Source organism: Homo sapiens, chromosome 4 (assembly GCF_000001405.40).
Source record: "Homo sapiens chromosome 4, GRCh38.p14 Primary Assembly".
Classification (NCBI taxonomy): Eukaryota; Metazoa; Chordata; class Mammalia; order Primates; family Hominidae; genus Homo; species Homo sapiens.
Genome location: NC_000004.12, coordinates 140,541,455 through 140,554,048, shown reverse-complemented (window position 1 = coordinate 140,554,048; position 12,594 = coordinate 140,541,455). Strand labels below are relative to the sequence as shown.

General features: G+C 33.8%; 1 protein-coding gene across 7 annotated transcripts in view; it reads right to left on the bottom strand.

The window, feature by feature from the left end:
* Nucleotides 279–12,594, bottom strand: part of ELMOD2 (ELMO domain containing 2) — a 29,603-nt gene continuing 17,287 nt past the window's right edge. For 3 of the 7 annotated variants that reach the window (XM_005262885.4, NM_153702.4, XM_011531819.3), the window contains exons 7-9: nt 11,407–11,475; nt 10,463–10,596; nt 279–3,819 (exon numbers count right to left, since the gene is read on the bottom strand). In XM_005262885.4, coding sequence (XP_005262942.1) covers nt 3,674–3,819; nt 10,463–10,596; nt 11,407–11,475 — 349 coding nt within the window. In that variant the 3' untranslated portion in view covers nt 279–3,673. Of the gene's footprint in view, nt 3,820–5,230; nt 10,333–10,461; nt 10,597–11,406; nt 11,476–12,594 lie in introns of those variants that run through there. The other 4 variants (XM_011531818.3, XM_047449980.1, XR_001741193.2 and 1 more) reach the window with 3 other exon arrangements.

Sequence of the window (12,594 nt, the reverse complement as noted above, 5' to 3'; positions counted from 1 at the left end):
TAGCATGAATTATTCCTACTCTTTGTAAGAAGGGGCAGGTGGAGGTGGTGGCATCTTTTTAAATAAAGGAAATTTTCAGTCTCATAACCACTTGTTTCTCATTCAACACTGTAAATAGGTAATCAGCAGTTAACAAGTCAAGAAAATCAAAACTTTTTTCTGTATATTCTGATTTACCTACAGCAACACGATAAGAAAAATAAGAAAAATGTTTAATGAGCATGAATGACTAAATGAGGGAATATGGAAAAAAAGAAGTATCAACAGGAAGGCTTACAACAATTTCAACATGTTTTTTATTTGCTCACTTAACATTCCAAACAAAATGACATTTTACACTATTGCTTTTACTTAAGAAGTCAACTGCCTTATCCAAAGTAGACAAAAATCCCAATTCCTTTAAGTGTCCAAGTGGTACTTTTTCCCCCAGAGAAAGCTACTTGAATACTTTAACAGAAACATAGAATCGTCCTATAATAGTAAGGTAGTAGTTGGGTCTAACCTGTACTACATTTAAAACTTTTCTCATTAAAAAATGAATACAGAAAAAAACCCCAAACACCTCCAGTCATCATTCCTCTCAGATTTTTAACAATTCCACTAACCTTCATTAAAAATTGCTTTTGTAGAGAGGTGTATAAATATGAAAATGGAAAGTAAGCCTCCCCACACCTGTTCATAGAGAAGTGGGGTAGAGCATTTATCCTGAGAAAACTGCTGCTGGTCCCTGTTATTTCAAAAAGGATAATAAACATTATGGCCCACCAAGTCAAACCTCCTATCTTCTGTGCCATGATCATGTGTAACCTTTTCTGTTCTGGCTACGAGCATCTACTTTTCACACTCATGCGATTCTTCTCCTTTGAGCAAATCTTTGATGAAGTTGTATTTCACTGAATGTTCTCAAAGGGGAGAAAGAGTGCATGAGCAATTATAGTACTGGAACAAAAGTGAAGAGTACATATATTTTCACGTAGAAAAAATACATACAAATCCAAGTAGCTCCTAAAAATAGAAATCAGATGGGCATTTTTAAGAAAAAGATTGTTTTCTAAACTGTAAATGGTGCCAGTAAGACACTGATTTTTATATCTAGCTACATCACCATATTTATGTACAAAGAGAGGTTGGTATAGGTTCACTGATACCCCCAATTTCTCCCATTTCTTTAAAGATTGTCTTTCAGATCCTATTAAAACCATAACTGTTAATTTTTTAGACTACTTCCTGTCACTGGCACACTCTCTTCAACCTGGCACATACAAAAATTCATTTCAACATCTATTTACTTTTTTGATGCTAAAACTAACAATTTTTCGGCTACTTCAATGCCACAATATTCTATCACTACTTTGGCATTTTACTAATTATTATAGAAACAGGTAAGATTCTAAATATGGATTTTAAGACTATGTAAAATTCCAACTACATATGTCAAAAGGGAAAGTAGGAAGGTAGACACAATTATATTTTTGTTTTCATGTATATCATTGTCATGAGTCTGAAGCCTCATGTTGCATTCTAATTTACAACTGACATTGGTGACAGTTTGCTTGGCTTCTAGACTCAAACCCTAGAATTTATTAGTGGCTTTTAGATCAATTTGCTGTAAAACTATCTGAAATGGTTGCAGATTATTTTAAGCAAAAACAGAATGATACCTATAATGTACAAATGGAGGTGGATTTAAAGAACATATTATTGAGCAAGCTCTATAATGACATTTTCTTAACATCATCATAGTTTTTCTTCCTAGAAGGGAAAAAACTTACTTAAAATTTTCCCCTTCTTTACTTAAAGCATTCTTAAGTATATTGACAAATGTTTAAATCAGTTCAAGCTCTCAGCTGTTGGAAGATCAAAACACAAAGATAAGCATTTTCAACACAAACATCAAAAGATGAACAGAATTGCTTTCCATGTAATAGTTAATACCTTAATACAATGAACTTGTCAGGATTTTGCGACATATTGTATAGCTGGACAATAAAGCATGAAAATATTTTTTAAAAATTAAGTGAAGATATTCCCAAAGTTGAGATGTCCCCTACAAGAAACCAATTTTTAAATTCCTGTAATACTGAAAAGCTAAATTGCCACTATTGTAATAAAGTGAACCAAATTTTTAAAATAATTTTATCTTATTGAGAAACTAATTTTAACGCAAGCACTTTAAATGTATGTGCTATACAACACTGCATCTTATTTTCCAATTGGATATGTCTTACCACTCTTCTAACAAGTTTGAAAGAAAGAGGTCTGTCAACAGACACGAGCAAATACTTATAAAGTCTCAGGTCTTGCTCTATCACATACTAGCCAGTCCTTAAACACTTGATATATACCCACATTAAAAGGTGTGCTAAATATCGTCATGTTTTAGATGAAATTATGTCCTTAAAAGGTTGGTTTCTGTAGGATTTAAGGAGAACTTAAACTTTGCTGCTTTAAACTTTAGTTTTGCTATCAGTACAAATGTGTAAAACGCACCAAGAAGAAATCATTCCCATAAAAATCTCATCACTATATAATCGTTGACAGCACTTGCTGCCCTCCTGAGATTTTAGGAGAATAAAACTATATAAAATGCACAGTCATCAAGTCATCTTCAAGCTATTTTAGTATCCCACAAACCATTAACATAAAGTTCATACATGGTTATCTAAAAACACCATGGAGTCAAAGAGAAGCAAGAGTTAACAGTAAGTCAAATAAACCAATGATGTTTAACTGAGATTTTTTTAAAACTTAAGCTTTCTTAAGTTTCAAAGACAGTTTTACTTAAACAGAAACTGTCTTTTATAATCTTTTTGTCTTTTATATAATCAAGATTTTCTTGGCAAATACATCTCTTTTCGTAAACATACATAGGTAGAGAAGTTTCATATGTAGGTAGAGCGGTTTCATAAGCATACATAGGTAGAGAAGAAAACACTAAGGTTCTTTTCTACAACTGATAAAAAGCAAATACTGAAGATGAGAAAATGCCTTTAAGCTTTCAAATAACACTGTGGCATTTTAAAGTGTGTTATTTAAAAACAAAAAAGCTAGTCACCAATACTGTCATTCTCTCATCAGTTATGCTCAATAATCACAGAAACCCAAAAGGAGGCCCTAATTCTTTATTCTCTCTGCTGTATCTCTGCTCTATTTGCTACTAATGAAGCAACGTTATGACATGTAATTAAGATGCAAACAAAGAAAACCATAAAGAAACACTTGCTGTTAATTAACCTAGAAATAAAAATCAGACAAAATTAAAAACAGCCATTTCCAAACTAAAAACCAAAAAAATCTTAAAGAGCTTTGAAAAAGATACCAACTTGACCCTATAACACATAAAAACGAAAATTGATTTTACACATTTTAATCAATTTAATACAAATACCTGATTTATACTTTTACACCAACGGGCTAAGTCCCAAGTTCCAAACTGTAGTTCGCATGACTCTACAGAGGGGATCTTTGGAAGGATAAGGTACCTTTGGAGAACAGTGTATAAACAATTGTAAACATACACTGATTGTCCACTAGCTTTCTTAAATAGAATTTCTGAAATATTTTTGTAGGAAATTATATATAAGAGTGTAATTGATCAGATAATTCCTATTACAACATATAAATTCTGTTGAATGTGCAAAATGTGGTAGAAATAGAAGATACAGTGGATGATTTATACTTTTAAAGTAAGTGCTACATTACAATCCAGTAAAAGTCCTTTAATCTTTTCATGAAACTTCTCTCTATACAAATTGAAATACATAATGCTTTCTGGTTCTTCTTCAAACCAAAACTTGTCAAATTCATAGACAAGATAACCTGCAGTTAAAGAAAAACAAAACATTTAATCCTCAATGTTGAAATCACATTCAAACCGTCTCATCTTTACAAAGTATATAACCATCCTTTAAATTCCATATTAGAATACAATAATCAAAAGTAATCTCAAAACTATTAGAAGCCTGAGGGACTTAATAAGACTTAATAAACGATTTAGTGTATATTTACTATTTGTCTCAAAAATCAACAACGTCCCTCAAGTTTAAAAGATATAGTACTTTCACCTGGGAGCAGTGACTCATACCTGAACTCTCAGCACTTTCAGAGACTTAGGTGGGCAGATCGCTTGAGGCCAGGACTTAAGAGACCAGCCTGGGCAACATGGTGAAACCCCATCTCTGCAACAAACACAAAAATTAGCCAGGCATGGTGGCATGCGCCTATTGTCCCAGCTACTTGGGAGGCTGAGGTAAAGGTATCACTTGAGCCCAGGAGGTCAGGGCTTCAGTGAGCCGTGATTGTACCACTGCATTCCAGCTTGGTTGAGAACCTATCTCAAAAAAAAAAAAAAAAAAAAAAAAAAAAAAGATGTAGTACTTTCAAAAGATACCTTGAGAAAAGTTTCCCGAGAAACTTCCAAAGCACAAAAATGCAAGTAACGAAAAAATGTTGGATAAGGTTAAAGTGTAGGAAAGTTATTTCCTACTCGATTTCTAAATCTAAGAGTTATTTCTACTTTTTTTTCAATGAACTATCAGCATCTTCTCTTTTTTAAAAAAATACATCCACTCTAAATCGGCTTAATATTTTTGGCTTTCAATATCCTCATTATGGTAGCCAAATTAACCCCCAAAATGTTAAATGTATTTCATGAAACCGAACTTGTTTATACACACACACACACACACACATATATGTAAACTTAAATGTGAATTTAAAACCACCCAACATCAAAATATCTATCAACAAGTACATAAACAATGTGTAGCATATAATGGAATATTGTTCAGCAATAAAAATAAATGAGCTAATATGTCAATTTTTAAAAAATAACAAATAAAAAAGCTATTAATACACACAACAAATTATGCAGAAAGAAACCAGACCAAAATGAGTAAAAACTGCATGATTCCACTTAAATACAATTCTAGAAAATAAATGCAAACTCATCTATAGTGACAAAAAAATTGTGGTTCCTAGGATGGTGGGGGGAGGAGCAAGAGGCATGGATTACCAAGGAGTACATAAAAACTTTCAGAGGTGGTGACTATATTCACCATTTGGATCATGGAGATGGTTTCACAGGTGTATACATATGTTAAAACTTATCAAATCATACATATTTAAATATGTGCAGTTTATCATATGTCATATAATATGTGCAGTTTATCATATACCTTAACAAAGCTGTTAAAAAGTAAAGCAAAAAATAAAACCACCCCAGTCCTACTTTGTATGTAATCAAATGTATTTATTGAATTATTTTTTAAAATATTTCTACAGTGCTCACTAAATGCTCATATACTGTCAGAGCAGCCCTAGGATGCAAGTACTATGTTGTTATTCCCACTCTACCAAAGATGAAAGAGAGGTGCAGAGAAGTTAAATGATGTGCCCCAAATCACACAGTTTGTAAGTGGTCTCTGTTGCAAAAGTCAATGACTTTACACAAAAGGGTGGCTAGACTATCATGATTGCTTACTATGTAAAATGGAAATCCCATTTTAATAATATTGGTCATACAGCAAACATTAATGGTTAAAATCATCATATTCCCACACTGAAATATCATTTCATAAGAAGGCCAGTTTAAGAAAGATTTTTGGATTATTCTCAATATATGATAAAACAGATTTTTGTCAACCATGATATATGGGTAAAATCAAGAAATGAAGCCTCTGGAGAAATACCATCTGCTATCTCTATCCCCCATACACTGTTAGGGATGTCTAATTAATACATTTAGAGATTAATGTTCTGCCTAGTATGATAAGGCAGATAGCTATCCAAATTTTATGGCCATACCATTTGTTTCAGTATATCTGGTTATTATGTTTTAGATATTTACCATTCTTATGTCCTTTAAATTGCTTTTTCATTACTGTCAGTAATGTGGCCCATTCAAATGACTACATGGGCCTGGAACAAACTGCTCAAGTTAAAGCACTAGGAACTTCTTGCTTCAGAGTGAGGCTATTGATCTATAATATAAATCAGTGTCAGAGAAAGACTAACTTGAAGAACGGAGACTATAATAGCTAAAGTGATTTAATGTGACATCAGGAAACCACAGGAAAAAATACTGAAATTCTAGGAAACTGGCAGGGCCATCCTTGGCATAAGAATCCCAAAGTTTTGCAAAAAGTGATGGAAAAGAGCTGTTTTCCATGATGCACATATTTTGTCCTTTTGAGTCCAGATGTTTGGAATACTTAAGACTCTGTAGAAATTACCATATGAAATGTCTAAACCTGAAATTCCCTGCATGAATTTACTGCAGAGGTTAAGGATTAGAAAATCATAGGAAGGGGGATTAACTGTAAACCTGTATCTCACTGGGGTGATGAAAATGTTCTAAAAGTGGATTATGATGATGGCTACCCAATTTAGCTCATTAAAATCCATTTAAGTGTATATTTAAGATGGGTAAATTCTATGTTATATAAATTATACCTCAATAAAGTTGTTATTGAGACATAACTTTATTATACAAACTTGAGGTGTTACTATTTTTTTTTGGAACCACCAAACCAGAAGTCCAGCTAAAATTTTGGCCCTACAAAACTAGAATGGAGACATCCTAGACCGGAATATACAAAAGACAGAGGTCCCAAAATCCTGAGCCCTCCTGCTGGACTAGTGGTAACTTCCCAGAATCATGGCGGATAGCTGCTCACAGTTTGGACGTACAAGATGACAATGGAGCTAAAAAGCTAAACTACAAACGTTTCCAGCCCTTCCTACACAGGACGCATTAAAACAAAGGCGATCAAAGGAAAAGAGGGAGATGAAGGCAGATCATAGGGAAACAAAAAATGTGGAAACTCATCTCTGAACTGTTCTTCCTTCTGGAGAGAAACTATGACCTTGGAACTAATTTGTGCAAACTAATTTATCCTACTCCTCTACCAAAAAAGTATGCACATTCAAAGACAAGGTTTCAAGTTATTATTCTAGTTAGAACAGGTTCCTCTTAAGAAGAAAAGCAGAACCTTATTTAAGATGTGAAACTTCCAATGGTAATGGGTATAAGAATGAAGTTTTTGGGAAACTTCTGCTTAAAAGGTACATAGGTATATGCATATGTGCATTTTAATGTCTCAAAATAATTGAAAATCATAAGCTTCACTGTTTCCAGGATGATCTACAGCTCTTATAGATTGAGCTGACAGGAGGCAACTGAAAGGGTTCTACAATGACTTTTCTACCTCAGATATTACACTTTAATGTCCTTCCTATAGAGGAGCCAGCCGAGATGGTGTCAGGGTGCTGGAGAGCAACAGTTCCCACAGATCCTCAAGTTCCCTGGTCTTTAGGGGAAAAATACTGCACAAAGGTCATTCTGCACTGCTTTCTAACCTACCACCCTCCTGTATATATTGAGATATGGGAAACTGCTTAATTGTTTGGGGAGTTTTCAAATTCTTTTTTTTTTTTTAATTTTATGAAGATTTATTTTTTAAGTTCTAAGGAACTTTAGTTTTCTTATTTGTAGCTAATTCTCTTCTTAAAATTTATTTATTTTTTACATTAGTCTCTTTACATTTATTTATATATATTTTTATTATACTTTAAGTTCTAGGGTACATGTGCACAACGTGTAGGTTTGTTATATATGTATACATGTGCCATGTTGGTGTGCTGCACCCATTAACTCGTCATTTACATTAGGTATATCTCCTAATGCTAACCCTCCCCACTCCCCCAACCCCACAACAGGCCCCGGTGTGTGATATTCCCCTTTCTGTGTCCAAGTGTTCTCATTGTTCAAGTCCCACCTATGAGTGATAACATGCAATGTTTGGTTTTCTGTCCTTGCGATAGTTTGCTGAGAATGATGGTTTCCAGCTTCATCCATGTCCCTACAAAGGACATGAACTCATCATTTTTTATGGCTGCATAGTATTCCATGGTGTATATGTGCCACATTTTCTTAATCCAGTCTATCATTGTTGGACATTTGGGTTGGTTCCAAGTCTTTGCTATTGTGAGTAGTGCCGCAATAAACATATGTGTGCATGTGTCTTTATAGAAGCATGATTTATATTCCTTTGGGTATATACCCAGTAATGGGATGGCTGGGTCAAGTGGTATTTCTAGTTCTAGATCCCTGAGGAATCACCACACTGTCTTCCACAATGGTTGAACTAGTTTACAGTCCCATCAACAGTGTAAAAGTGTTCCTATTTCTCCACATCCTCTCCAGCACTTGTTGTTTCCTGACTTTTTAATGATCGCCATTCTAACTGGTGTGACATGATATCTCATTTATGTTATTTATGTTCAATAGGTAGCTAATGAACAAGGGATATATTCATTTAAAAAAAAAATTAGAGGCAAGTTAGCAAAGTCCCAGCAACAACACTTTGGAATGGTAAAGGAAAGCATCTCACGCCTGCTAGAAATCTTCAGTACACTTGGGTAGAATCATCAATGCTGTCCTTAGGAACCTGAAATCTGTTCCCTCCATTTAAAGACATGTTGCATTGGCTCCTACTTTGTTTAAGCATCCTCATATGATTCTTTATCCTTATCCATTAAGGGAGAAAAAGGATCTGGACATACAGTTGCTGGGATTAAAGCAGAGGTTGGGCTGAAGATATACATTTTGGCATTTAATGCACATTTGGCATTTCAAGCAAGGGACCAGATGGTACCACTTAGGAAAAGTATGAGGGCTAAAGAGAGGAGTGGGCACAGGGCTGGGCCCTGAGGTGCTCCCTATATCTAGTAAGGCAGTGGATGTCTACAGGAATTCCTGTGGGGCAAAAGAAAAGCCAGGAGAATGTGGCATCAGAAAAGTCATGATAATGTTTCGAAAAGAAACGTGTGGTCATTTATGCCCAGTGCCACTAAAAGGATCAAATAACATGAAGAAAAAACATGGCGATTGTATTAGGCGGCAAAAAAAAGTTGGTGTCTGAGAAAAATCAGTGTGAGCAGAGTCATGGAGAGAGAAACTAAATTGGAATTAGATAAAAACTGGAGATGAAGAAATGAAAAAGCAATTATTGAAAAAGTTTCATGAACAAAGAGAGCAGAGAAATGAAGCAGTATCTGGAGGTGGACACTGCACTAGGGGGAAGTTTTGATTCTGAAGATGACAGCTCCTCACCAAATGCAGTGACTTTGTCTTCTTCTCTGCTACATCCCCAGGGCCTAGAACAACATCTAACACACAGTAAATGAATAAACTTCCCAGAGAAGAGCACGTCTAAACTGAGATTTGGAAGGCGAGAAGGCATCACCTGGAAAGAACAGAGGGAGCTGGAACAGTGTTCAGGCCAAGTGAATGTCACTTGCAAAGGCACAGAGTCAAGAGAGAGCATAATATATTTGAGCAACTAAAAAGAAGACTGGGATGCCTCCACTATAGAGTCTGTGGGGGTGAGAGGGGGGCTGGTATATGGCAAAAGATGAGCCTGGAGAGGTTACCAAGGTTCAGATTATGCAGGGCCTTATAATGGGAATCCTTTGAATAATTTTTGGGAGTGGAGTAAAACGATCAGATTTTCATTTTAAATAACTATACTTTCAATGTGGAGAAGAAATAGAAGAGTGTTACCACAAAAAAACTGCTAAAGGCCATTATAGTAACCTAGTAACAAAGGCCTGATATTGTACAGTTACAATGGGTATAGAAAGAAACAGACACATGCAAGAGAAAGTTAAGATGCAGACAAAACTGGAATTAGGGTGTAAGAAAAGGCAGGAAAGTTTCTGCGAAAAGGAGACATGGATATTTTCAACAATGGAGATGAAGAAATTATGATTTGGCCACCTATTATCTAAGTAGTTTCTTATATGCTACCAACATTCAAATGACATTCTAAAGACATAAAAAGATCAAGAAAAGTACTGTGTGAAGAAAAACTAGATTTGAGTTCTTTGCTTCTGAACAATAGCTTCAGAAGATGGACTCATTCAATTAAACCTTCAGTATTCAAATATTATCACTAAAAGTGAATGGAACAGAGAAAGTAAAGACAGCTTTAGGAACAGTTACTCAGTACCTCTAACCTACCACAAGAAAATTTGGCCTTGAAATTCAAGGCAGGGGGAGGCGAAAAGTTCCTCTAAATTAAATTTCCTTCCAAAAGTAAAAAAATAATCTGCAAATGGTCTGTCCTTAACAGCATTCATTAACCAGCATCCAAGAGGGAAAATACATTTTGTAGTTAGCTGGAAAATGAATGCCTAGAGAAAAATTACATGAATCTTAGATGTGTCTACATGTGAAATATTGCCTTTTATAATCAGCAAATATAAAAACTGAAGTATGGAATACTCTTGGGGACCCATCTTCCACTGTTTTCTTGTTTTTCAAAGACCCTAAGTAATAAAATGATAAACATAAGTTATATACTTCACAGAGACAACAGATTAAAATATATATTATACATTCCTAGTGGTTTAAGAATTATCTTAGAAAGATCTAGTTTTAACTCATTTTAATACTCACAGTAAAACTGATGAAAGTGTTCCATTGTTGGTATACCAGGAACAAGGTTATAGAGATGAAACTTCAAAGCTTCACTCTTCAGTAAGCTATAAGCCATCTCTGTAAGATTGATTCCAACTATTGCATAAGAATACCTATGTCAGAAACATTACCAGTTATACCAGCTAGCCAAATAACTCATAAAATAAATTAAAATTATGTTAGGAATTAGTAGAAAGTGACTTCAGGTTTAACACAGTATTGATTTTATGATAATCTCTACATGGTAAGAAAAATATACTAGAAAGAATTTAACATTTTTGCTTTTTAAAGCCTGTATATTTTTCTGGATATAATCTAAGAAATAAAAATAAAGCTCTGTTCACATGATATCTAAAACTAAAATTCTTAAATAAAAAAGGGGTCAGGGGGACTATAGACACCAAATCTCATTGATTTCTAAAATACACTGGATAATCTGGATAATCTGATATTTTCTTCTCCATTATCAGGGTACTTATTTTTATGATCTAACATTGTTACTATGCTTTTTCAAAGATTAGATACCATCAGAATATTTTTAAAAATAACGGTAAAGCTAATAAAACCACCTCAGTTTGAATTTCACTTTACAATTTTCAAAGCTATTTCCTATTTTCCTATTACTTTTCCAAACTATTTCCTCTTCCTATCTTCAAATCTATTTCTCAAAAGCATTTTATAAGGGCCCTTATCTCCATTGTATAGATAAACTATATCTTGTGATAAAAATATACTGAAATACATACAAAATTGGTTTACAATCACATTTTTCCTTAAAAATAATGTATCATGTAATATCCTTTAAAAAGTTCTTATTAAAATACTTTATTTTAAGAAATACCTTGATATACCTTCAAATTCATTAAATCATCTAATCATTATAAATGCAAGAGATTACGGCTTCTTTAATATACCCAGCTTACCCTAATTTTGGATGATTTGAACGGGAAAGAATCTGATGAGCTTCACTAGTGTAATTTTCACTGAAATACCTAAAAAGTTTAAGAAAAATAATCAAACAAATGTACGCCATTCAAATGTAAGATATCCAGAACCAATTTAAAAAGCTACTGTCAAAATCATAGTCCTAGTATTGCCATGAGTATCCTGATATCTGTCTCAAATCACTTCAGTGATTCACAAATGCTTCTGAATCAAAATTTCCCAAGCTATCAGGCCTATGTAGTACAGAATATAGGTCATTGACAAGACTGTAAAGTATTTTAATAAATAGATAATATAAAAAGAGACTACCTTAAAAAAAAAAAACAACCAAAGTTCTTTTTGTTTCTTTGCTGGTTCTATTTCTATGAAAGAGTCAATATGTACCTGTTAGGACACTCTTCCTTACACTTAGGTTCATTCCTTCTACTACAATTTAAGTCTGTGTTGTTTAGTGCCATTTTCAGTGCAATCAGAAGGGAGTCAACAATCTTTTTGCAATGAGAAACCTCCTTCATCAATCATATAACTAAAATACTAGCTATAAAACAGAAGTATTAGCAGTATAAGAGAGATGTATATGAAACTATCTATTTGTAGGCACATACATCCTTTTGGCCTACACCAAATCTATTTAACCTTAGGATCACCTCAAAATGATAGACACACACACAACTAGATGCTCACGTGAGGATAAAAATAAAAAATAAATGTCCATGGTTTATTTACATTTTAGAGGACAAAATCATTGACATTTTCATAAAGCATAGAAATTTCTAATTAACTCTTCCCTCTTTATTCTTCTAGAGAGTATTAATATACACTTCCTTATTTCTTCACTGGCTCTAATTTTCAACCCATTACACCAGGGGCTGTTAACTTAGAAGTCCATGAATTAATGATAATTTATGAATGAAGGGGAATCCAGGAACCATCTTACATTATGGACTTTTTCTATATATATATTTCCCGGGGAGAGAGTATACAAAGCTTTCATCAGATTCCCTAAGGGATCTGTAAACACCAAAATAGTTTTAAAAGTCTTGCTTAATGCAATGCTTTCCTAAGTCTCTAATTTTTCTACTTTATCCCTAGATTGACTCTAAAATGCCCTCAGTTGACTATTTATATTTCATTTTTGTAATAATTCAGCATTGCATTTTAATAGT